General features: G+C 57.9%; 1 protein-coding gene across 5 annotated transcripts in view, besides 10 other annotated features; it reads right to left on the minus strand.

Annotated features, from left to right (window-relative positions):
• Positions 1-24871, minus strand: part of MAD1L1 (mitotic arrest deficient 1 like 1) — a 417151-nt gene that overhangs the window by 247378 nt on the left and 144902 nt on the right. For all 5 annotated transcript variants that reach the window (NM_001304524.2, NM_001304523.2, NM_001013837.2 and 2 more), the window contains one exon: positions 6022-6166. In NM_001304524.2, coding sequence (NP_001291453.1) covers positions 6022-6166 — 145 coding nt within the window. The remainder of the gene's footprint in view (positions 1-6021; positions 6167-24871) is intronic.
• Positions 582-876: a silencer, noted in NCBI's record as "tiled region #15277; K562 Repressive non-DNase unmatched - State 8:EnhW". NCBI's record gives its function as "represses a minimal TATA promoter and a strong SV40 promoter by Sharpr-MPRA in K562 cells {active_cell/tissue: K562}" and the evidence as "EXISTENCE:reporter gene assay evidence [ECO:0000049][PMID:27701403]".
• Positions 6441-6996: an enhancer, noted in NCBI's record as "H3K4me1 hESC enhancer chr7:2109248-2109803 (GRCh37/hg19 assembly coordinates)". NCBI's record gives its function as "activates a minimal SCP1, AML or CMV promoter by ChIP-STARR-seq in naive H9 embryonic stem cells {active_cell/tissue: H9 hESC(naive)}" and the evidence as "EXISTENCE:reporter gene assay evidence [ECO:0000049][PMID:30033119]".
• Positions 6997-7551: an enhancer, noted in NCBI's record as "H3K4me1 hESC enhancer chr7:2109804-2110358 (GRCh37/hg19 assembly coordinates)". NCBI's record gives its function as "activates a minimal SCP1, AML or CMV promoter by ChIP-STARR-seq in naive H9 embryonic stem cells {active_cell/tissue: H9 hESC(naive)}" and the evidence as "EXISTENCE:reporter gene assay evidence [ECO:0000049][PMID:30033119]".
• Positions 9037-9186: an enhancer, noted in NCBI's record as "active region_25505". NCBI's record gives its function as "activates an Ori minimal core promoter by ATAC-STARR-seq in GM12878 lymphoblastoid cells {active_cell/tissue: GM12878}" and the evidence as "EXISTENCE:reporter gene assay evidence [ECO:0000049][PMID:35858748]".
• Positions 9724-10277: an enhancer, noted in NCBI's record as "H3K4me1 hESC enhancer chr7:2112531-2113084 (GRCh37/hg19 assembly coordinates)". NCBI's record gives its function as "activates a minimal SCP1, AML or CMV promoter by ChIP-STARR-seq in primed H9 embryonic stem cells {active_cell/tissue: H9 hESC(primed)}" and the evidence as "EXISTENCE:reporter gene assay evidence [ECO:0000049][PMID:30033119]".
• Positions 10297-10797: an enhancer, noted in NCBI's record as "H3K4me1 hESC enhancer chr7:2113104-2113604 (GRCh37/hg19 assembly coordinates)". NCBI's record gives its function as "activates a minimal SCP1, AML or CMV promoter by ChIP-STARR-seq in primed H9 embryonic stem cells {active_cell/tissue: H9 hESC(primed)}" and the evidence as "EXISTENCE:reporter gene assay evidence [ECO:0000049][PMID:30033119]".
• Positions 15055-15624: an enhancer, noted in NCBI's record as "H3K27ac-H3K4me1 hESC enhancer chr7:2117862-2118431 (GRCh37/hg19 assembly coordinates)". NCBI's record gives its function as "activates a minimal SCP1, AML or CMV promoter by ChIP-STARR-seq in naive H9 embryonic stem cells {active_cell/tissue: H9 hESC(naive)}" and the evidence as "EXISTENCE:reporter gene assay evidence [ECO:0000049][PMID:30033119]".
• Positions 15625-16193: an enhancer, noted in NCBI's record as "H3K27ac-H3K4me1 hESC enhancer chr7:2118432-2119000 (GRCh37/hg19 assembly coordinates)". NCBI's record gives its function as "activates a minimal SCP1, AML or CMV promoter by ChIP-STARR-seq in naive H9 embryonic stem cells {active_cell/tissue: H9 hESC(naive)}" and the evidence as "EXISTENCE:reporter gene assay evidence [ECO:0000049][PMID:30033119]".
• Positions 16194-16763: an enhancer, noted in NCBI's record as "H3K27ac-H3K4me1 hESC enhancer chr7:2119001-2119570 (GRCh37/hg19 assembly coordinates)". NCBI's record gives its function as "activates a minimal SCP1, AML or CMV promoter by ChIP-STARR-seq in naive H9 embryonic stem cells {active_cell/tissue: H9 hESC(naive)}" and the evidence as "EXISTENCE:reporter gene assay evidence [ECO:0000049][PMID:30033119]".
• Positions 16764-17331: an enhancer, noted in NCBI's record as "H3K4me1 hESC enhancer chr7:2119571-2120138 (GRCh37/hg19 assembly coordinates)". NCBI's record gives its function as "activates a minimal SCP1, AML or CMV promoter by ChIP-STARR-seq in naive H9 embryonic stem cells {active_cell/tissue: H9 hESC(naive)}" and the evidence as "EXISTENCE:reporter gene assay evidence [ECO:0000049][PMID:30033119]".

The raw sequence follows: 24871 nt of genomic DNA on the forward strand, positions 1-24871 counted from the left end.
GATCTTTGCACACGCAATGTGTTTCACGAGAACAGTGAAAAGAAAGACTGGACGTGGGGTGGGTGGGACCTCACTGCGCCAAAATCTTGCTCTCTGATCCAAGAGTGGGCAGAGTCCTGGGCCCCTGGGAGTCCCTGGCTCCGCGTCCTCACTCCAGGCTGTGCCGGATCCCAGGACTTAAACAGACACCATCAGGGAAGATCAGGGCTTTGAAATAAAGGCAAGCCAGTGACTTGAAGTGGCACTCAGCTGGAGGAACAGCGGCCTTGTCTGTGGCTGGGACAGGCATGAGCTACATTAACCTTGTTGGGGTGGTCTCCAAAGTGGAAGCTGCCCAAGCTGTATGAACACAAAATAAACAACAGCGCTTGCCTCTGCTCCATGTCCCTTCCACCCACACGTCCTATGGGAGCAAAAACATGCATCAGGTGTGTCTCCACCGTGCTATTCCAGGAGAGATGAAAATAACCTGTTCAAAAATAAAAACACTCCAGCAACGTGGGCCCATTTCTAAATCGCTGCGCAGCCTGGGCACGGTGCCAGCGAGGCCCTGCCCTCTTCCCGTGGGCACCACACCCGCCTTTGTCATGGCCAGGGTGCGGCCACCAGAACACACTCCTTCATGATCCACGGGCCACTCTGACCCTGAGCACCTGTGGCCTCAGCTCCCTCGGGGCAGCCAGCCTCCCTCGCTCTGCCCTCAGCACACACAATCCTGCAGAGGAGAAGAGACACAGTCAGAAGGAAATGGAGGGGCCTCCTCAAACCCCAGGCCTGGGAGAATCCCAGCGAGGACTGCACTGCCTTCCTAGGATGGACCAGAAGGGGGCCTGGAGCCTCTCCCGTAGCAGGCCGGCTCCACAGATGACACTGAGCTTCAGCAAGGAACACGCATGTCCTGTTCTGGGCCTGGCCTCGCGGCTAACCCTGCCGAGACACTGAATCCAAGGAGGCTGGGGATGCAGCCCAGCAACCCCCTGGCGAGGGAGCACACAGGAGCCCAGCCTCAGGCAGCCGAGTGAATACACAGGACACGAAGAGCAACATGTCTTCAAAACAATCAACACCAATATCCAGGCGGGCCCTCCACCAGAAAGGGCATGGGAGACTCCAGCACAGCATCCTGGGCACAGAAACGACCCCCAAGAAGAGAGGAGGCCCTGGCAGAGTCAACTGAGAACGCGCAGGGGTCCCTGAGCTAAGCCTGGCTCCCCTGCCCCAGATTCCCTCGGGAAGGCACCATAGCATGGAGAGGAGGCCTCAGGAAGCGGCTCTGGCCCCTGTAAGAGGCTGGGATGGCTCAGGCTCACAAGAGCTGCCTCTGGGCCAGGAACATAGCAGGAAGAGAGCAGCTTCTCCGAAGAGGACAGAGGCTTCTCCCCGGAGGACAGAGGATTCTCCTAGGAGGACAGTGGCTTCTCCCGGGAATGTGGCAGCTTCTCCCAGGAGGACAGAGGCTTCTCCTGGGAGGACAGAGGCTTCTCCTAGGAGGACAGTGGCTTCTCCCAGGAATATGGCAGCTTCTCCCAGGAGGACAGCGGCTTCTCCCAGAGGATACCAGATTCTCCTGGGAGGATGAGGATGGCAGCTTCTCCTAGGAATATGGCGGCTTCTCCCAGGACGGAGGCTTCTCCCAGGACAGCGGCTTCTCCCAGGACAGCGGCTTCTCCTAGGAGGACAGTGTCTTCTCCCAAAGGATGGCGGCTTCTCCAGGGAGGACGGTGGCTGCTCATGGGAGGACAGAGGCTTCTTCCAGGAGGACAGCAGGTTGTCAAGGGAGGACAGAGGCTTCTCCCGGGAGGATGGTGGCTTCTTCCAGGAGGACAGTGGCTGATCATAGGAGGACAGCGGCTGCTCATGGGAGAGCAGAGGCTTCTTTCAGGAGGACAGCAGATTCTCAAGGGAGGACAGAGGCTTCTTCTAGGACTCTCTTCTGGATGTGAGGCAGGAAGAACATGGAACTCTTCTGAGGGGTCCCCCCTTGTACTTCCTGCATTCTGCCCCCTATTTAACTGTTTCTTAAACAGCAGCAGCCCCCGCCTTCTTGGGCCCAGTCTCCATCTGCCTTCAGCTGTCTCCTGGATGGATCTGGCCTAAACTGCACCCAGCGAATACAGACACCAGCTCTCCACACTCTCCCATCACTGAGGGTGGCAGCCGTGTCCAGGGTCCCAGCCCTCCTGTTAAAGCTCATCCGCTCCCAATCCCACAGCAGGCCCAGCCACGTTGGTTTTGAGACCGTGGATCATCAGGAATGTTTGTGGACGGTTTTTTGATTGACAAAAGGAACTTTATGGCAGTGGGCAGATCTGATGCCCCAGGCAGCGAGGACGTGGGAGAGGGGAATGTGTGTCGTCACCAACCCCAGCTTCGGAGGAGGTGGCCGAGGAACGTGCTCATTCAGCCAGCCCAGACCCAACACCCCAGCCCAGAGCTCGAAACTCAGACCCTCAACAACTCCAGAAGACACAAATCTGTCTTTCCCAGTGTGCGGGTTCCCAGGGCAGGGTGTCACCATGACAACCACAGTCTGTGCTCAGCAGCCACGACGTGAGTCCGACGCCGCTGGACACCCAGCGTCAACTGCTCCCCCCAAGCCTGGGGCCTCCAGTAACTGATCTGCTGTGAGACAGGGCGGGAGGGTGGAGTGCAGACAACAAGGGGTGGGAAGCGGAGGCTTTTCTGTCATTTGAAAAGTTTCTTGCTAAAAGTTAGCTTGTATCACTGATATTCCAGAAACAAGACTCTGCAGCCATACTGCGGAAGCTTGGGGCACTGGAGAAACGGCTCATTTCAAACAGGAAAATGGTTTGTGTTCACCCAGTTCCAGAAGCCAATTTTCAACTGCTTAAAATAGTCATGATATTTTACCAAGGTAATTATACTCTTAGCTATCAGTAACAATTAAATCCTTAGACTAGAGCCGTTTAATAAAGGTCTCGAAATAAAACCACACACTCCAAGCACCGTGTACTAAAATGTCAAGCACACAAGGAGAGCCTCCAATGGGAAGCAGAGGCCCAGAGCCCCCACCAGCCGGAGGCTCGCAGCCCTCCTGGGTGCGCCTTGAGAGAAGGCGCTCCTCGACCACCCCAGCTGGGCGGGCTGCCATGCAGAGCTGAGGTGGGCACTGGCCGACACCAAGGCACACAGACCCAGAGCAGCAGGCACGCCGCTCCCTCCAGATGGCTGAGTGAACAGCTTCATCACGGCTGGCTGGACGGATCCTGCATCCCTGGCCTGGGGCTACACGGGCGACTGGGATCAATCCTTCGTCAGGATAAACAACCAGTCCATGCCCGGCGATCAATACCCACCTTCTTGCTAACACAGAGCAGGCCCGCGAGCACAGCAGGGTCGGGGTGAGGCTGGCGCGGGCCAGAAAGTGCCAGAGGCTCTCCACCTGCAAAGCAGAGCAGAGAAGAACAGAAACTTCCTGCCCTGAGCGGGCCGGGGTGGCCATCAAAGAGCAACGGCAGGAAGGAAGCCGGGCACAGACTTCCCAGAAGGCTGCGGGGCTCCACTAGACCATGAGGGAGCCCCACAGGGATGAAAACCACACCAGACATCCAGTGACTGCATGTAACTCCTCATCACGGCCGGGAGCCCTGGCACTAAGAGGGTGTGGGCAGCAGCACCAGTGTCGCGTGGGTCACAGGCTGCAGGCCAGACCCAGCACACAAGAACACTCAGGCCCACACGTGACCTGTCAAGGGAACTCTGCCCATCAGCTTCCAACCGCTGGCCTCACTTAAGAAACCAGGAGGTTCCCAAGGGATGAGCCTCAGCTGAGGCCGGGCGGGGCTGCCCTCCTGTGGGGGCCACACTTGTAGCCCAGGCCAAGACCCAGGCCACGCATGGAGGACCAACCCAAAGTGCTGCCCGCCTGGCCGGTGTGGGCCGATGTCACTCCCCAGCCCCGACCCAGAATCGGGGACTGGGCCCAACAACAAGGTGCACTCAAGGGGGTGCCACCCGAACACAGCACGTTCGCAGGCACCCGGGGTCATCAGGCCACGTTCGCAGGCACCCGGGGTCATCAGGCCATGTTCGCAGGCACCCGGGGTCATCAGGCCACGTTCGCAGGCACCCGGGGTCATCAGGCCACGTTCGCAGGCACCCGGGGTCATCAGGCCTGAGCCCAAAGTTTAGCAGAAAGGAGAACTGAGACCCAGAGAGAATGAGGGACATCTGAGATCCCAGAGAAAGGCCCAGCTCCCAGCCCAGCCCTCCCACTCTTCCTCCCCCAGGAAGCTCTGAGCTTCCAGCATCACGGGACCACAGCACGTCATCACGCACCCAAAGATCACCGAGCTAAGGTGTCCCGCCACTCTGAAAGAACACAGTGTCGCCCCCTCTGCTTCCCGGGCCTCTCCTCGGCGGCAGGGTCGGGCTGCACTTGCCTGAACCCCCGCAGTGGTCAGCCCAAACCCCCGCAGTGGTCAGCCCGAACCACCGCAGTGGTCAGCCCGCGTGCTGTGGCCTGTGGGCCCAAGCCGCTGTCTCCTCCCGCTCCAGGCCTCGAGGTGACTGCAGCAGCGCTTTGTGATGACCTGCCTTCTCTCCCTCCGCCGTGGTTCTCCACACACACTTTCGCAAAGGGGAAATTCTTGGGTCCCCACAGGAATGCCACCTCCTGAGAAAAGCCCTTCTGCGGCACCACCACGGCGTCCACCTCTGTTGAGGTGCGTGGCAGGTGCTGGTCTGGTGCCACTGCCTGGCCCCGCTAGAAGAGCGAATCCTCCAAGGGCTGTGCCCACACATCCACGCCACGTGCACCTCACGCATCTTGCTTAGAAGCTCACACACTAGCAGACACGGTGTGGAAGAGAAGGGAACACAGAGGAAGGTCGAGAGCTTGCTCCACAGAAACGTACCGTGCCTGACCATGCAGCAGGGCTGGGTGTCCCCTCTGCCAGAGGCAGCAGACAGCTCCGGCTGAAAAGCCATGTGAGAACATTTTGGAGTGTCCCCTGTCTGGGGTGCACCTGCAAAGCCAGGGCTTTGGGGTCAGCATCTGAGCTATGCGCAGGGGCCAGCTCAGCCTGTGTTCCGGGTGCCCACACAGTCAGTGCCCGAGGGACCTAGGCCCATGTGAACTTTTCCTTTAGGAGACAGCATGGAGCCGCCCAGAGCGAGCTGGAGAAGCTGTAAAACAGCATCTTTGGAACGGAAATGTTACTCATTTTCTAAAAGCTCCACAACCAAGAGGTCCCAGCAGCAAAGAGGCTTGGTTTTCATCAAAAACGATCAAGAACAGGTAAACATCCATGAGGCACAACTCCCAGTACTTGACAGGTGCAGCATGCATCCTGGGCCAGGGTGGCACAGCCCTCCGCCCACTCAGCACTAGCTGGAGGCAGGCAGGGGGAGTCTCCGCCCAGCAAACTGGACACCCGCCCTGGCCCAGAGAGCATCTGGGGACAGATTGACTTCTTTCCCGCCTTGTCTTCTGAAATTTCAGTGCCCAAGGAACATTTTAAACAGAACTCACAAAAACCGTCTTTCATGCTCCAGCGACCTCTGCTCACGGTGCCAGGCATCAGAACCCCCGCAGGCACTGAGGCTTAGAGTCGGGCCATGGAGCCACCCACAGGTGGGGCACACCTGGAAGCAGGTGACAGCCTTCATCCCAAGCCCAGGCCAAGACCCACACAGTGTAAATGGCATCACTGGATGGGAAAGCATGAGGGTGCTGACTGCAAGGCACGTGGGAGCCTGCAGGGGGTCCGCAGTGACAGGGAACCCTCTCCAGAGCTCAGCACCAGGCCAGGGGTGGACACTGAGATGCTGGAGGAACTGAAAAGGGTGGGGCACGCAGCAGGCCCAGAGAGTCCCACAGGGAGCACCGGGGCTGAGCACTCTCTGGCATTCCCAGAACCCTCCTGGCAACCCAGGGCCAAAGTGCCAACCCTGACCCGGCTGCAGCACTCCTGCCTCCACAGTGAGATCCAGCTAACCAGGTGTGCACTGACCCGCAGCTCCCTGCGACTCTGATCAAGATGTAAGGGCATACATCACCTTGGTGAGCAGCAGGACCCGTTTCTGGAGCCTCCGGGCCAGCGCCTCGTGGGTCTCGCGCTTCTTCCTCTCCTCCAACAGCTGGCCGCTGACCTGCCGGAGCTCCTCCTGCAGCTGCTGCCTGGCCTTCTCCAGCCCCCGGGCGCTGCATGGGAGAGACAAGAGGGCAAAGCAATGAAGCCTGGGGTGACCACCCCACCAAGCCCCGCCCCACCCCAGGAACGAGCCCACCAGGACATCCTAAAATAGAGCTGCACGTGCAACCCCCTCACTGCCATTTCCGCACTGCTGAATAGCTACTTAAGGCCTTTCAGGAGTTTCTGGATTTCAAATAGACTCCCAGGGTGATCCCAGAACACGGCAGGGAGGGGGAAGGGAGCTCAACTCCACACACAATGGGAAAAATTGTCGGCGACGCAGCCCTTCAGGAGACGGGACTTCTGAATGAGCGAGATTGCAGAGCCAGCGCTTCCCCTCTGAATCACCGCAGATGTGCAGCGTGGTGCGGGGAAGCAAGCGCCAGGCGCCTGGTTGGGGGGCCTGTTCTAAAAACATTCTGTGAGGTTGAAAGCCCAGCCTGGCGCTAAGCACTGGGAACCCGAGAGGCCTCCTGTGGGCCGACGCCAGAGGCAGGGCCAACTCCAGGCTGCCCAAGAGGCCTCTCCCTGTCCGCCCCTTCGGGTGGCTGATGGTTCCTTTCAATTCTGCTTTTGAAACCTCCCTTTTCCCTGCATGGTCCCCACAGCCACTGCCTCAGTCCCTGTGCTCGTTGCCTGTCACCTACGTTACCACAATAGCCTCCCAACGGCTCTCACTAGACCCCTCTGCCACTGGGCACCAAGCTGTCTCCTCAGACAGCAGAGAGGGGCTGGGTCATGCGATTTTTAAGCCTTTGGTGGCTCCCAACCACTCTTGGTGAGCTTCCGAGTTCGTGGCCTGGCAGTAGCGGGCCTCAGGGGTTTGGATCTTGCCCCTCTCTCTCTGTCCTTCAGGAGCTGACTTGGGACCGGACAAATGACAGCGTCCACTGACCCTGACTGCAGAACCCACCCATGATGCAACGGCTTTCTGTGATTCCGGGAACCCCAGGACTCCACCTCCTCACGGGAGGGGCTCCCAGGAAGGGCACAGTGAGGCGCAGAGAGGAGAGGCTGTCCCAGGGAGAGGGTGAGTCAGGACTCCACCTCCCACATGGGACAGCCGGGCACACAGGTGCTCCCAGGAAGGGACACAGCCAGGAGAGATGAGAGGCCGCCCGAGAGGAGGAGAGTCAGGACTCCACAGTGAGGTACGAGAGCTCTCCCAGGAAAGGACACAGCCAGGAAAGAAGAGAGGCCACACCGGGGAGGGTGCGAGTCCGCGGAGGGAGGGCCCATCCCTACTCAGACAGCCCAGGCAGGCGCAGAGCGGAACGGCGCTGGAACACGGGAGCTGCACACGACTCTATTGAGTACCACAAACTTCTTTCCAAAGGAAATCTTAACTAAATCTCAAGGAAATAAAACACAGCACTGGGATAGAGAAAAGCTAACAGGGACCACAGCCCTGTGAGGCAACCATCAGGGAGAGCCAGGAGGCTGCTTGGAAACAGGAATGTGGGATGGGGCCATGACCTCCACCCTCACGTTCACACCTTCCCAGCCATTGATTGCTTCTGCTCGGCCTTAGTTGCATGACTTGAGGAAAAGTTTCATCCCTGGACTGACAGATGGCGCTTTCTTGGGCAGTGGTTTGGGGAAGGGAAAGCTTCATCCTGGGGCTGGTGGATGGTGCTTTCTTGGGCAGTGGTTTGGGGAAGGGAAAGCTTCATCCCAGGGCTGGTGGATGGCGCTTTCTTGGGAGGTGGTTTGGGGAAGGGAAAGCTTCATCCCAGGGCTGGTGGATGGTGCTTTCTTGGGCGGTGGTTTGGGGAAGGGAAAGCTTCATCCCGGGGCTGGGGGGATGGCACTTTCTTGGGCGGTGGTCTCCACTGGACTCATGTTTGAGTGAAGTGAATACGGGGTTTTTAACTGTAACTTAGTAGAAGTCTTGAAATAAAGGATAAGTTGAAAGTGAATGTGAATCCAACACTCACAGAACGTCAGAAGGGACTTGGTGGCGGTCCTGACCCAGCCAAGCATGGCGGGAACCCCAACCTGGCCACCCTCAGCCGGCCCCAGCAGAAGCCACACAAGCCCACAGACTGGGGCCAATGTACTGGCGTCCAGGACGCGGGCGTCTCATTTCAGCCGCGTGTGATCTTGTGAAATATGTAACTGATCGTCAACCCATCTACCAGAACACAGCTCCTAAAACCCTCGGGCTTTCCCGACTGAGGCCTTCCATGTGCCAATGACTGACGGTGGCTGCAGCCCCTGGGCAGCTGCAGGATGGGGCGGGACACCAGGAAGATCGAGGCCGGACTAGAGGCTCGGGACTTCAGCCCCACCCCTAAGCTGGGGAAGGAGAGGGGCTGAAGGCTGAGTGGTTCACCAATGAGCAGGGGCGGAGTCAATTATGTCCGCCTGACAAGGCCTCCATCAAAACCCAAAGGTTTCTCACCGGAGCAGGGAGCGCTTTCACTGTTCCTGGAGGGTGGTGGCCTCCATCAAAACCCAAAGGTTTTCCACCAGAGCTAGGAGAGCTTCCACTCTTCCCGGAGGGTGGCGGCCTCCATCAAAACCCAAAGGCTTCTCACGGGAACTGGGAGAGCTCCCACTGTTCCTGGAGGGTGGGGAGGGCACGGACGCTCTGCACCCTTCCCCCACATCTCGCCCTGCGCATCCATTCATCTGCATCCTTCGCAGTAAGCTTCATAATAAACTGGTGAACATACGTTTCCTTGAGTTCTGTGAGACACTCCAGCAAATTTATCAAACCCAAGGGGAATCCCAACTGGGTGGTAGGAACCCCAGTTTACAGCTGGCCGGTCAGAAGCACACCTGCGGCTCGCGACCAGCACCAGAAGGTGGGGACTGAGCCCTCACCCAGGGTCTGACAGCACCTCCAGGTAGACAGTGTCAGAACAGAACTGAGTGAGACTGAGCTGAACGGCTGGTGTCCCAGGCAGAACCAACTGCTTGCTTGGTGGGTGGGGAAACACCCCACATCTGGTCAGAGTCTTCTGTGTTGACTGCTGCGACGTGAGAGCAGAGGAAACCGTTCTGAGTCTTTCCTATCCCATCAGCCGCCTCGGAAAGCCCTACACTGACACTGGCCCCAGGTGCAGCACTGGCCAGCGGCCCCCCTGCCCCCTCCAGGCGCTCCATAACCAAAAACGCAAGACAAAATAAAAAGCAGGCACAAAGCTCATGGGAAACACATATTATGAGGCTACTTTGGGACCCAGTTCAATTTTAAACTACTCATGGGCCAATTTAATACTCAAGGGCTGTAAAATCTACTCTTGAATCACTGAATTCAGGTGGGAACGTTCACAAGTGCTTTAAATCACGGCTCCGTGTGGTCATTTAACTAGAAGAACGCCACCATTCCCTGTACTCTGCTTCAAAGCCAGAATGTGCAAAGGCAAGAATGTGACAGGTGCTGTCTTTCAGGTGACAGGCACAGCACAGGCATCTGGCCAGAGAGAAGGGTAAGGGGCTGCGCTGGGAAGCACCCTCAGCTCAGCACAGGATGGCTGGGCAGCCTTGAAGGGGGCCCAGCAAACCCACACCCTGCATCCTGAGTGAGGGTGCGCTCACATCTGTGTGGGGGCACATGTGGGGCTGGAGTCCCCCCGCCACGCAGAGCAGATGTGAGTAACGCACACCCACAGGACAGTGGCTGTCTTGCTTCAGAGCCCAGGCTCCCGGCACTTGAGGACCAGGGCTCAGTGCAATAGAGCCAGGGGCCAAGACTGGGTCCCAGGAACTGGATGTGGCCTGAGCTGCTTCCCTCAGGCCCACATCCCACTCTCTGCAGCCTAGGCCGCCTCGGTGAGGCAGGACGGCAGGCACCGAGGCGCCCCAAGCCCGGCCCTCGGCCTGTAACAGTGGCTCAGCAGAACTAGCATATCCCTCCGCCACTGCTTAAAGGGTCTTTACCTACTCCTAGCTTTTAGAGTACTGAGATAATAATGCAAAAATAGCAAAGAGTAATAATGCAAAAACTCACTCTGGGATCAAAGGGGAAGTGTGGAAACAGCTAACTAGGCTTTGTTAAAGATCTGCAGGAGTGCTGTGGCCTGGCCAAGGACAGAGCAGTTCCCGACCCCTCGGACCCTTGCTGGCACCCAGATCTCTACGATCGTCAGTCACCTCTTGGACCCAACCCCCTCCTCTTGCCCCTACCCTTAGCATAACTAGAGCCTGGGATCTGTACTGACTTCAGATGGTCTTTGTGACTGTAGGTCACCATCTCCCCGATCCGCTGGCTCCCCGAATACGCCTGCTCTTCCTCCGCCACTCTCGCCTCTCGTGTCTGGCTGTCAAGCATCGAGCAGCTGAACCTGGGCTTCCTTACAGACCCGGTCTGAGGAAATGCAGTGGCTGCAGGATGTAGCGTGAAGCGTGTGTTCTGCAGCACCCCAGAGGGTAGACAGAGGCATAGGGGCGTGGGGCTGAGCACAGGCTGGAAAAGCTCATCCGCCAGGTTGTGAAGCAAACCTCTCCTTCCTGGCAGTGAAATCCACATCATGAACGGAGATGGGAGAAGTGAACCAGAGCAACACACATTCCCGGCTGAGGGACGGCGTGGGCAGCAGAGAGACACCCACTCCAGGACCGTCCAGGTGCAAGCACTCGGGCCCGCGTCATCAGGGCCACATCCCCAAGGCCTGATGGCTGACACTGAAATCTTCTGAACAACAGAACTAGACTGTAAAAATCCAACACCAAGACGTGACAAGGAGACGACACTGTGGAATGCTCGCCAAGAACCATGTCCGGGATGTTTGCCACTCACACCTGACTGGCAGGCGAGTCTACCCAGTCTGTTCAGCACACGGGATGTGGGTGAGGACGGCCACATGCCGTTCCAGGCAGCAGAGATGGCAGCACGGAACACCGCAGCCAGCCTGGGCTCGCTGGGCCTCCATTCTACTGGGGTGGGAATCTCAAGCAAAGAAGCCACGCGTGTGGCATGAGCAGAGAATCTCACGGCGGGTGCAGGTACTGAGGTCACCGAGAGCAGAAGGAAGACCCTCAGGCGCCAAGGACGCAGTGACTTCAGGAAGCAGCTCCCAGCCCTTGGGCTGTGGGAACACGGGGCAGAGGCTGACATCATTAAAATGTAGACACTCAGAGATGGGCCCCATGGAACAGGAACTGAGGCTGCTGAGGGAGGCCATGCTGGTGTCTGCATGGGGACCCTGGAGGGCCTGGACCCAGGCCTCTGAGAACAGGGCAGCAGCCCATGGAGCTGGCACCTCTAGGCGCTACGGAATCTGCAGGCTGGCAGGCTGCTGGGAGGGGGCAAGGCCAGCGGCTAAAGAGCTGCCCCACTTGCCTGCAGGCTGACCCCGGGCCCTCTCCAGCGCCCCCAGGACAGGCACTCCCTGGCGAAGCGCAGGTGTGGGCTGCAGCCCTGGCACCGCAAAGTAGGGCTCAGAGAAGGGAGTGTGGAGCTGCGAGGCAACAACTCAGTAACCACAATGGGCAGAAGACAGGCCATCAGCAAACCAGCAAGCAGGTGCCTCCTGACACTGGAGGGGAAACCGGAGGCTGGGGGGGCCCTCGGGGAGGGGTGGCGGGACAGCCTGTGGTGTCAGAGACAGGCGGTGTCAGAGCCGGGGACGCTTCCAATGGGCAGCTGGCGTGCTCATTCGTGGTCAGCCCAGTGGGCCCGAGGTTGGGCCAACCGGGAGCAATGGGCAAGGTCACAAGAGGACGAGCAAACCAGGAACGGCCTCTGCACGGGACGTGGAGAGCGGGCTGAGCCAGAGGGGCAGGAAGGCAAGGAGCAGGCTGGCATGTGTCCATGAGGTGCCGGCGTCTCGAGAGGAGGGGAAGGTCCAGCAGAGGCAGCCCTGTCCTGAAGACCCGAGGAAGTGGCAATTAGGAGCCAAGCCCTGGAGGTGCAGGAAGGGCCGGCACAAAGTGGACGGCCCCAGAGTGCAGCCTAAAGGCCCCCCATCTAGCGTTTCAGACACCGCCAACAAGTGGTGCTGCCCACCCAGGCGTGCAGGTAGAGGCGCTCCGGCAAGATGGCCTCTGCCTCCCACCCCTCAGGCCCTGCAGGGCACCGGGACCCAGCACGCTGAGCCACAGCGGCACCAGCGACGGCGGGCTCTCCCCTGTTGGGGATGTTCTCTCTGTTCAATCCCGGCCTTTCTTCTGAGGTACAGAAGAGAAAACTCAAAAAATTAAGCCTCTAGTTCCATGCTTGGACTGAACTCTGAGGTCACTGGCATTTCCGTGAGCCTCTGGGAGTTCAGAATGAAGTTCTTAGTTCCTCAAGGAGAAGCCAGGCATGTTTATCAATCAATGGCTCTCTGAGCCAGCCTCTACTCAAAGAACAAGCTCTGAGCTTCTGAGCATCCATCTGCGCTGTGACCAGCCACTGCCGGCCACTTTAATGTGATCTTCATCAGAAACTCCCGGCCTAAGAATACCGACTTTCAAGGAACAACGAAAGGACACAATGTATCCCAAAGTGGCAGGAGACATTTTAACGACCTTCCTCAAGACACTGCTGAGCCAGCTCTTCCACGCACGACCCATTCCTCCCACACACTCTTTGTCTACCTTCTCCCAAGTCCCAGCCCACTGTGAGCACCCGCCAAGGCAAGGGCAGGCATCGCACAAACAGGCATCACTGGACTCTCCCCAGAAACCATGGGGCTCTGGAGCACAGGAGCCCACGGCGTGGCCACCGCGGGAGACAGGCTCTGAGAGAGGCCAGGACAGGTGGTGCTGGGGTCTAAGGCGAAGCAGTTGTGTGCTCCCGGGACCTGATCCGACCCTTGGGATGGTATGAGGCGGCTGTTCCCGCCCCAGTCACAAGGCTGAGTGGTGCCTGGAGTGTGGATCCACAGGGTATGAAGACGCCTCCACAGCCACGCCCGGGCCCAGGGCAAAACCAGCACGTTTTGGGCAGTGCACAGAATGCCTGTGTCGTCCCAAGTTCACCTGTGAAAACCCAGATCCCCAATGTGATGGTGACCAAACGGGGGCCCCTGAGAGGGCATTCGGTCCTGAGGGCGGAGTGCTCCCAATGGGATGCGCAAGTTGTAAGCAGCACAAAGCTCGAGTCCTCTCCCTCTGCCCTGTGAGGACAGGGGCTGGTCATCTGCAAACCAGGAAGAGAGCCCTCCTCAGACCCGGCACTGCCATCCTGCACTCCTCAGCTCCACAGCTGTGAGAAACGGACGTCTGTTCAGATCCCCGACTATGGTACTTTGTTAAGTGAGCCCGAACACAGACGGTCTCCTAACCCATAACGCCCAGACACACTGTTCACACATGGGCATGGGGTCACACCGAGGCTTCCGGGCTGATGACTGCCCCAACACAGTTATGACACAGTGAGCCCACAGCACAGTTAGCCTGCAGCACAGTGAGCCCGAGACACAGGTATGACACAGCGAGCACATGGCATGGTGACCCTGAGACAGGGTTACGACTTGGTGAGCCCGCAACATGGTGAGCCCAAGACGGTTACGACATGGTGAGCTCACGGCACAGTGAGCCTGAGATGGTTACGACACGATGAGCCCGCAGCACGGTCAGCCTGAGACGGTTACAACATGGTGAGCCTGTGGCACGGTGAGCCCAAGACAGGGTTACGACATAGTGAGCCCACAGCATGGTCAGCCCGAGACAGTTATGGCACAGTGAGCCCGCGGCACGGTGAGCCCGCAGCATGGTGAGCCCGAGACGGTTATGACACAGTGAGCTCACGGCACGGTGAGCCCGAGACAGAGTTACGACTTGGTGAGCCCGCGGCATGGTGAGCCCAAGACAGAGTTACGACTTGGTGAGCCCGCGGCATGGTGAGCCCGAGATGGTTACGACATGGTGAGCTCGCAGCACGGTGAGCCTGCCAGTGGCCTCAAGGGTTAAGATGTAAACACAGCCGCATGCACGGTGATCCTCAGTGATGACGTCTGGCATGAAACTAGGAAAATACTAATAAAATTGTATTCGAACCTTGGCAAAATCTCTAAAAGCACCTTTATTCTTAGCTATCTGAGGAACATAGATCAAGACCCACCCACAAGTATGATTTTTAATCATCTCGATTTTACAGATGAGTAAATTCAAGCCTTGAGCGACTGAGTCATGAGCATGAAGCCACCGTGTCCCCCAGGACACCACTGTACTGACCTCCAGGGTCTCCAGGGCCATGCCTTGAGCACCCCCATAGGGCTGGGGGGAGACGCCCCAGTCGGGCCAAGCAACAGCACTGCCACACAGGTGACACGTTCCATGTGTCTCTCAGGAAGAGAGCAAGTGCACGGGCTTGGCTGAGCCAGCGGTTGGGAGGGCTGCGACCCAGCGGGGAGCAGTGAACTCTAACTGGTGGCCTGGAGCAGGTACACGAGACAAAAAGCAGTGCCGTTCTGCAGGAGGCGCGCGGGAGCAGGAGACAAGGATCCAGGAGGCTAGCAGGGAGCAGAGGACAGGCTCCAGCCCCAGTGGACAGCCTGCCCTGCTCTGCTCCGGAAGCACCCACAGGTTCTGAAAGAGGATATCGCTGGACAGAACAACCTCCCAAACCACACGTGCTCGTCCTCCAGTCACAAGAACTGTACACAGAGCTGTGTTCACAGGCGCCCGTCGGGGAGCCTCGCAGCAGCCTGGATCTAGAGGCAAAATTTTAAATGGAGCACGAACTGGTTTCAGAAATACTCTCCCGGAAGGCCAGGGTTCCCAGACAGGGCAGAAGCAACACTGAGCATGTTCAGGCATCCACATTCGCTCCTTGCTAAGAGGGAACACCGGGGAAGGGCCCCCACTCACCACAGAGAGGAGCCGTCTCTGCCATCGAAGCCCCCAGCTCCGGCCTGGAGACCGGCACGACAGACGCAGGCTCCTTGTGTATCTGAGGAGCCGCCTGAGAATGGGAATCAATAGCTGCCTCTGCAGAGAGGCAGGGAAACAACTGCCCTGGGACCTACAGGGTTGAGAGGGTCCCGCCTACCTGCAGGATCCCCCACGTCAACCCACTATCCGGAGGCTCTGAGCGCTCCATCCACCTCTGGCCTTCTCCTTCCTCTTGGATGGAACTGAGGCCACCAGGCCCCTCGCTGCGAATGGGCAGGGGAGGACTGGATCAGACGCGTGCGTCCGTCGTGAAGCACGAGAGCATCAAGAGGTCCCAGTTCCTCCCCTGCCCCACGCTCACGGGGCCTCCGCGGCTGAGCCAGGAGATGCTCCCTGATCAGGAGCTGCTGGAGATTCAGATCAGAGTTTATGCTTCTCATCTACCCAGGACTGAAGAAGAAAGCAGAGGAGGCTGGCGGCCAGGGCCCCTCCATGTCTGAACTCGGAGGCCGAGCCTCCTGAGCAGTTTCCCACTCTCGCCCGAGCAGCTTTCGGCTGCAGGGGGTGCTCCTGGGTACATGACCTCGTTTAGTCTGCACCAGAATCTGGGAGGAAAGCAGCAGCGCCACCCCCACCCCACATCCCTGAGGAGGAAGGGGCTCAGAGGTGGCATGCCTCGCTGAGGACTTGGGTTCAAATCTCCACCAGAATCTGGGAGGACAGCGGCAGCACCGGCCCCAGTCCCCACATCCCCAAGGACAAAGGGGCTCAGAAGCCACCGTGTCCCCCAGGACACCACTGTACTGACCTCCAGGGTCTCCAGGGCCGTGCCTTGGGCACCCCCATAGGGCTGGGGGGAGATGCCCCAGTCGGGCCAAGCAACAGCACTGCCACACAGGTGACACGTTCCATGTGTCTCTCAGAAGAGGGCAAGTGCAGGGGCTTGGCCGAGCCAGCGGTTGGGAGGGGGTGAATGCCTCGCTGAAGACTCGGGTTCAAGTCCACGTGGCCAGCTCAGCCCCCACACCGTCATGAGGTTGGGGCCGGGCAGCCGCACTCAGTGGCACAGGTGGGCACTTGCAGGTGAAAGAGAGGGGCAAGCCCTCCTCCCTGGGGGGCAGGTTCAGACTCGGAAGGGGCTGGGACTCCGAGAGGGCAGGTGCCCCAGGACATCAGGCTCAGCGTGGCACGCAGCTGTTGTTATTTACTCTATCTAATCCCAATCTTAAATGCCTCCAAGTGTCAATACACATTTTTCTGAAAAAAATAAAAATCCAAACAGCGGAAACAAAACCAGAGAATGAGAAGACCAAAGGCTGAAATAATTACCAATCAAAGGAACGGCCAGGGGAGCAGGCTCTGAAGCTGCAGCCTGGCCTCCCGGTCACTTCTCCCCGACTCTGCCTCTGATGAACGCTCTGTTCCCAACATCTCGTCAACTGGAATCACCAAATTCAATTTGCATTCCCAGATAAACAGAGGCCACACGGCAAATACTCTCATCTGACCTTGAAATGTGAGAAGGAAAATTGCCCTTTGCAATTTCAATTCACTCCCAACCATAATGAATAATCCAGTTTAGCTGATCAGCTACCAACCTGTAATCGCCTGGGCAGGGCTCCTCCAAATGCTGGGTGGGGAGCCCCGGCAAGCACGGCCGCAGGGAGACCATAAATTCACTTCCGCCCCAGGCTGCTGGAGATTAGGAAATGAGAACTGCAGAGACAAGGGGGCAAGTCACCTCCCCAGGCTCTACTAAACAACCGCCCCATGCCCTCCAGCTCTGACTTGGAGAAAAAAGAGAAGCCACAGAAGATAATCCGGTGCCTGGAGTGACGCAGAGAGGCACAGCAGGTGTCCTGGACACATCTACCGTCTCCCGAGGTCAGAGAGAAGGAGACCATCCGTGCGTCCGTCAACCCTGTCAGCGCTGGCTGCCTGCTCGCCTAATGCACAGGACAGAAGCCCCAAGGGGCCACATGGCCAACAGGCAGGCAGCAGGCGGGTGGGCCAGCCTCGAGGCTGGGGGCTTTCTCTGCACTGCTGCTCAGCAAACAGCCCACCACCTATGGTTGTAAGGAAAGTTTTCCTGGAACAAAGCCACTCCCATTCATTGACATATGGCTTACGGCTGCTTTCCTGTGACAGAGCCCGTGGCTCAAAAAGCCAAAAGTATTTACCATACGGCTCTTTACAGAGAAAGGTTACCAACCAATACCCTATACCACTACCCTATACCACAGATATGAGGTTTAGAAACGCTAGCATGGGTAACTAAAGACATGAGTTCCCACCCACCTGAGGCCGGGCGACTGCATGTCCCCCACAAGAGAGCAAGCTCCTGCCGGCTCCCCGCCTCGGCCACTGCAGATGCACAAATTCAAAGGCAAAAACAGTAATAACCACCCTCTGACTAAACCCACCCACCCACCCTCATGTGCAGAGCGCCTCCCCCACGATCACAGGCCTCTGGTAGGAAGCCCAGGATTCCGGGGCCCCTCATTTCCAAATGGGAGCAGGACTCAAAGAACAGCGCTGGGCTCTGACGCCAAGTCCATCCCCAGGCAGCTGGAAACTCCCGGGTCGCAGAGCAGCCCTGCTGTCGGCTGCACAGGGCCGTGCATTCAGATGAGGTGCGGAGCCAGATTTTCCCAATGAAGATGCGTGTGGTTGGGCAAAGGGAACTGCCATTTCTTCAAACACACCCTGAACCTCCCTGCCAGGGAGGGAGACGTTTTCGCCTCATTTCTCGGTTAGGGACACAAATGCTGGGGGAGAGTGGCATTCCAGGGGACCTGGCTCACAGGCGGTACCGCCGGGACGTGGCCTGCACTTTGTGACATTATATCTTGGCCTCATTAACCCTCAGCTGCCTCTCAGCATGCCCAAGGTCCAGACTCTGTGCCCCCTCTCCCTGGTTCCCCGTTCCTGAAGGGTGAGAAGATGCCTGAGCCCAGGAAGAGAGAGGAGAGAGCTGCTGTGATGGTCCAGGAGCCAGGCCAGGAACCAAGGACAGGACTGGGGATGACGCAGGGTGGGAATGGCAGAGCCAGCGGGAAGGGTGTTTGGAAACAGATATGGACAGACAAGCTGGGCCGGGGTGGGGAGGTGGGGAGGCTCTGAGCCGGTGGTGGAAAGCGGCCTGTGGGCAGAGGAGTCACTTGGGGCCAGGGTTGCCACACTGGGCTCCTTGCCCCTTCCTCATCTGGATCATAGGTTCTAGCGAAAGTCCATCGAGTTCCCTCAAACTGACGCGTAAAGGAACGAAAATCACAGCATCCACGTATCAGTCCCACTCCACCAACACTTCTCCAATTTCCAGAACGCCATCGTGCGACCCGGGAAACCTCAGGACACATCTCAGCTGGAGGACACCAGCCTGTGGAGGGACTGTGGGTCTCAGGGACTGCCAAAAATCCCCGCATCGGGCCGGAACCCACCCCACACAGGAGGCGGGGGGCGCTCCCTGCATCACTGCAGCCCAGGACACCATCATGCACCCCTTCACTCCCTCGACCAGCCAGCAGGCCCCAGGACTTCTCTCTTCCGGGCTCTGTCCTCCACACAGGGGTCCGCCGTCACTGTTCCAGCCCCCGTGGTCGGCGGAGCACAACGGCCCAGGCCCGGCGGAGGGGGCAGGAGCTAAGTGCGAGGGAGAAAAGCCGGAGCACAGGTTAGAGAGGGGAAGGCCGCCTGGCCTAGCTGGTGGGAAAGCGGGAGACACACCTGCCGTCAGGGTGGGGAGGCTGGGCCTTCATGCGAGTGGCCAACAGAGATCACGGGACCCCTGGGGAGACAGCAGGGCACGCCTGACATGGCCCCAAGGTCAGGAGCAATAACAGCAAGGTAGCAGCTTCCAGGGACAGAGGAAAATCTGATCATGGAGATTAGGAGAGAGGTTGGAGCCAAAGATAGAGACTCTGAAGTCTGGCCACACTGAAGTGACAAGAAGAGATGTCAAAGCACAAGAACTTATGTAAGAAGGAAAAGCAGAGACCGAGGAATAAAGAACGGAGAACAAGCTCCCGGGAACACCTGCGCAGGAGATGCCAGAGAAAGGGAAGGGAGGCAGGAGGGGGAGGGGACGGGGACCAGGAGGCCATGTGTGAGTGTGAGGGGGCTGTGCACATCCCACAACAGCTGCACGGGAAACCAGAAAAGCCAGGGAAGGAGGGAGGGAAGGGAAGGAGAGCGGGGACCATGGGGCCGTGTGTGAGACAGAGTGCAGGAGGGAGAAGGGAGAGAGCGGGAGAGACAGGAGGGAAGGAGCCAGGCCTGGGGAGCTCAGCAAGGGAGATGGGAGAGACAGAAGGAGAGACCAGAGGGAAGGAGCCGGGCCTGGGAGCTCAGCGGAGCTGCTGTCGGAGCCGTGACTTCAGCACCATGTGGCCAGTGAATCAGAGCCGTGAGGCATGGAGCTGGGCTCTGGCCGGCGTCGCCGGGTCTGGTGTGGGAGTGCAGCACTCTAGAGAGGCAGCAGGCCAAGTGGAAGGACCAGGCTGAGGAGATTGAGCTCTGAGGATCAAGGGGCTCACATACCCCGTTTAACTGAGGCTTGCATCAAATTAGACAAATAGTTAAAAGAAGAGGCAAAGCGATCTCTGTGGCGTCTCTCTTTGGAATCACCCGATAGCCCAATTAGCAGCTCTGAAGCTGAGGCTCTAGTGCCCATGACAATTGATGGAGCCCGGCGCCTGCACTCGGCCCAGCCTCCGCCCACGCCTGTGCGCCGCACGACCACTCCAGCTGCTTCAGCGCTACCTGGGTAATGAAGCACATTCGGCCTGTTTATTTTCCCATTGATTTTGCCATCCTTGACCCAAAGCACAGAAGTCAATACCCCGTTAGGTGTGGCACCTTCATGGGGCCTCTGCTGTCTCTCGCGCTGCAGGGAGAGCTCCCCTGCCCGTCAATCAGGAACGGGTGGCACAGGCCCCCAGGGGGAAGAGCCGTCCCTCCCTGCGCGTGACGTCCTGGGTACCCAGGGCTGACAGCCTCTAAACGCTGTCACTCGACCAATAAAGAAACATCTCCAAAGCATTCCCCGTGCTGAGTAACAAAACTTTAAGGAGAAAATGAGATTTTCGGAATTATTAGTTTCCCTTTCATTCCTTTCTAGCAGGAGCTGGAGAGAGGAAGGCACCCATTCGCCCATCACTGAGTCACCCGGCAGCTCATTTATGAACCTCGCTTCCTCCGTGCCGGGCGGGGGGCTTGGAGGGCTGACACTTGACTTGAGAAATGCCAGCTCTAAGCAGTTTATTTCCTCTTGAACTTTAAGAACTGACAAAGACAGGAATGACCTTTAAAAGGCAGGGTTAGTGCTTGTTGGAATCACTGAGCACTTCTTGGCTTACACAGCACGGAGAGGAGGTGCGGGGTGAGTGCCCCCAGTCTCGAGGCACGGCGCTCAGCACTCGGGCAGGTAAATCAGCGGAGAGGCCTCCAAGGTGGGTCAGTGGGTGGAGGCCAGCGCAGGGCGGGCTGTCGGGAGACTCCAGACGTAACAGACTGCAAGATGTCCCCCGTGGCCAAGATGGAAGAGGCAACGGCATCGGACGCTAGGAAGACCTGGGAGACCTGGGTTGAAACCCGGCCTCCGCCACTGACCTGCAGCAGGCTGTGTACCAAGAAGACCAACATTTCCTCCTCCCAGTTCTTCAGGGAAAAGCACGTGGGAAGAAACAGATCTGTTCCTGATACTGCAGGAGCGCCCGTTCCCATCTCCAGGACCTCCTGGTTGGTCACTGTGAGTGTCTGCTGGGCCCATCCTGTGGGCCGGCTGCAGGATGCTCCCAGTGATTCCAGCGCAGTCAGACCCTGGGGTGGGGAGGAGCTTGGGCAAGAAGGCACTGGGGAAGCGGGCGCAGACTGGGCATGGACCCCCACCCAGTGAAGGTCCGGTTTTCCACATGCACCCAACTCGGAGAAGAATGCTCACATCCGAGCCGCCATTCCCTTTCTCGCTATCAGTTAACCAGCGGCTTCCTCTGGACACCCGAAAGGCATTCCAAGGCAGCACTGCTGGCAGGGTGTGCGGTGGACACTCCGCAGGATCTGGAAGACTTGGGTCAAAATAATTCAGGAAACACAATGGAAGTTTCTGCGTATGTGTAGAAAAATAAAGCTCTGCTGTGCTGGTGAATACTGACTTCATTTCCTCAAAGTCCAGGGGGGACAGAAAGGGCCTGTCCACAGGTGTGGCCGGACCCGCCACAGAGACAGCCACGGGCAGCGCGAGGCCAGGAATGCCAAGGGCCATGACCTTCACTTGCTGGGAGCAGAGCACTGCAAGGGGGCAGAGCATGCGAGTGGCGCTGCCCGGGCAGGGTGATGCCAGAGAAGGCCCTGCGCCCACGCAGACGTGCCGGGGACGAGGGAGCAGGTACCTGTGCTCACGGAGGTCCCCAGGCTCTGGCAGGCCTGACTGCTGGAGAGCAGATTAGAGGCAGGAAACCCAGCTCAGTGCGGAGTCCTAGCCCAGAAAACCTACTTCCTGAGCCACGGTGGCGGCCACTGCAGCCGCCAGCACACCACTCAATGTGTCACCTACCGCCAGCTTGATCCCTGCATTGGAGAACCTCCCTCAGAACTTGCCTCGCACCTCTGGACATCTCCTGGAACGTCCTGATGTCCGGCCCCAGATAACCCTGGGAGCCACCAGAGCCAGACTGGGGCAGGGAGGAGAAAAAGGAAGGAGCCGTGACAAATACAGGGCCAAGCACGGGGGCAGGAGGGTGCTCCCAACCCTCCAGGTGAAGAGCCTGCGACTCTGTAGCCTTGTAGAGTAAGAAACTCGCCACATGTGGGTAAAAGAGACCTTATCATTGCCGTCATCGTTTCCTGAACATACATCGTCACGTTTATGTGTTTCCCACCACCCCAAGCCAAGGACTATCATCATGTCCTTTACAGACGAGATGGCCCAGCTGAGAAGACATCAGAGAGCCTGCTAAAGGGCCAGCAGTCAGTGATGAGCAAGAATTCAACGCCGGTCTTGCTCAGTCCTGACAGTGACTACACTGTTCGTTACTGCAGCTCACATGCTAGCCACGGGTCTCAGAACCGTAACTCCACGCTCACCTCAAGCACCCACTGTGTATCAGCCACCATTCCAGGCAAAGCAGACACAATGGTGACTGTCCTCAAAGAAGCTCAAAGGTAGAAAAGGTTAACAAAAGACAAGTGTAACGGAGCAAGTAACGGTGCCTGCTAACAAGCTCCACCCTCCCACCTCACCGTGTGGTCTGTCTCCCCGCCGCACAGCCACGCAGTACACACCCCAGGAGAGCAGCGCATGTAGCTGTCCCTGCCTGCAGCCGCCATTGCCTCTCGGCCACCTGGTTCTCCCAGGGCAGTGGCCACTCTGATATTTCTGCCCACAGTGAGCACATGAGGCCACGGCAGTGTCTCAGGAATGCCCTGCTTTGAGTTCGGGACTTTGCCTATTCTGGGCACTTCATATTAATGTCATCATACAGGTGGTGGCCTTTCATACTGTTGAATTGACTTGGCATCATGTCTTCAAGGCCAGTCCCTGCTGCAGCATACATCAGCCTCCATCTCTTATGGCTCAATAACTCCTCGCTGGGTGGACAGCCGTGTTGTTTTTAGTCACAGCTGAGGGGCATTTGGGTTGGCCCCATCTCTTGGCTACTATGAGCAATGCTGCTATGAACGATGACACGAGTGTTCGTGCAAACATGTTATCAATTCTCTTGGGTGCGCACTTAGAAGGGAAGTTGCTGGGTCATCCAGTGACCGCCTAACCTCTGAAGACCCACTGGACGCTCACGGCAGATGCAGCTTCACAGGACCACCAGGTGCGTACGAGGGCGCCGACTGCCCACTCCCGCCAACTTCACAGGCCCATCAGGCATGTATGAAGGCCTGGAGGATGGTGAGACCCATCACCTCCGTGCGCAGCTCCACCTACCCCCAGGAATCCCACCCTGCCCGGGAGGACTCCACGCTGCGGGGGAGGACGGCAAGACCCGTCACCTCCCTCCCTCCTGGCCAGCAGCCCCAAGGAGCTCCTAAAGACAAGCAACTGAGCTCCTAAGGATGAGCCCCTCCCTCCCCACAGGCCCAGTGAGGACAAGATGCCTGGTAGGGAAGAAGCTCAGATTCTCCGTCCTCCTCCCCAAAATGCATCCCATCCAAAGGAAGGTGCAGCTCAACAACTCAGCACTGGGTAACGCATCACTGAAGCACAGGCACGCCCTCGCTCACACCACAGCCACAAAACCTGCCAAGTCCTTATGGCATGGTAATTAGGGGAAGTGCTGCCAGTGACCTTTAATTGGAGGCTCCAGACAGGTCAGTCAGTCAGTGCCAAGGAGCACGACAGAGACAGCACAGCCGGCTGGGGACGGAGCCACACACGGCCTCTGCCCATGGGAAAGCCGTAAACGCTGCAGGCAGGGAGACAGGCCAGCCACAATTGCTCTTTTTCTTTTTTTTTCTTTTTGGAGACAAAGTCTCGTTCTTGTCCCCCAGAGCTGGAGTGCAATGGCACGCTCTCGGCTCACTGCAACCTCCGCCTCCCAGGTTCAAGCAATTCTGCCTCAGCCTCCAGAGTAGCTGGGATTACAGTTGCCTGCCACCACACCCAGCTAATTTTTTTTGTATTTTCAGTAGAGACAGGGTTTCACTGTGTTGGCCAGGCTGGTCTCGAACTCTTGACCTCAGTTGATCCACCTGCCTCGGCCTCCCAAATTGCTGGGATTACAGGCATGAGCCACCGCGCCCAGCACAATTGCTGTTATCTTCTGCGACTAAAAGCAAGGGTGGCAGAGAAATCACGTGCAGGAAGACGGGAGATGTGGCCAGGAATCCTAAGAGTTACAAGCTGAGTTCAGGAAAAAGTTTTAAAACAAGAAAAAGCAACATCACTTTGAGAAGAGCATGGAGGAGGTGGTGGTCATGCATGGAGAAACTGGGCTTCAAACCTCATGGAAGCTCTTCTCTTTAAAAACGTACCCACATGGCTGCTGGCGGCAGGGGAAGAGCGCTGTGACCAAGGGGAGGCAGGAGAAACTCTTAGGGTGATGGAACTGAATCATGGCTGTGGTGGGGGATGCTCAGTGCAACTGTCAAGACCCACAGAGCCACACACCTCAAAGTGAATTTTACTACCAATAAATAATCGGGAAATGGACCAGGCATGGTGGTTCATGCCTGTAACTCCAGCACTTCGGGAGGGTGAGGCGGACAGATCACTTGAGGTCAGGAGTTCAAGACCAGCCTGACCAACATGGCGAAACCCTGTCTCTACTAAGAATACAAAAATTAGCCAGGCCTGGTGGCGCGCGCCTGTAATCTCAGCTACTCATGAGGCTGAGGCACGATAATCACTTGAACCCGGGAAATGGAGGTTGCAGTGAGCCGAGATCGCACCACTGCACTCCAGCCTGGGCAACAGTGTGAGACTCCGTCTTGAAAATAATATTATTAATACTACTACTAATCAGGAAATGGAGAAGCCCAAATGGAATACAACTGTTGAAGGCAGCTTCTATACCACAGTCTGCACAGCTCCACTGACCCAGGCCTGGCAGGGCGGACCTCTCCTGCCTGTGCCGATCGCAAAGGAACAGTGGTACTTGGGAAGAGACAGGATCCTCTTTGTTGTAAAAGGAATGATGTCCCATGGCCAGGAGCAGGGACTGGGGAGCTGAAAGAAAGCTAGCGCCAACTGTATGTTTAGAGAGATCCTGCCTGTCCACAGAGAACAGCTTCATGGAACACCGTAGGCGCCCCTTAGCATCCAAGACAGCACGGCGCTAGCAGCTGAAGGGAAAACCACAACAGCGTGTGGGGAGAGGAAACAGAATTCAACAGCCGGTGCCTCTGAGAAGATCCAGTGAAACTCAGCAAAGCTGCCACTTCCCCTCTCACAGCTAACTGGATCCGTTTCCCAGCAGATCGAGGCTTGAGGCTCT

Source organism: Homo sapiens, chromosome 7 (assembly GCF_000001405.40).
Source record: "Homo sapiens chromosome 7, GRCh38.p14 Primary Assembly".
Classification (NCBI taxonomy): domain Eukaryota; kingdom Metazoa; phylum Chordata; class Mammalia; order Primates; family Hominidae; genus Homo; species Homo sapiens.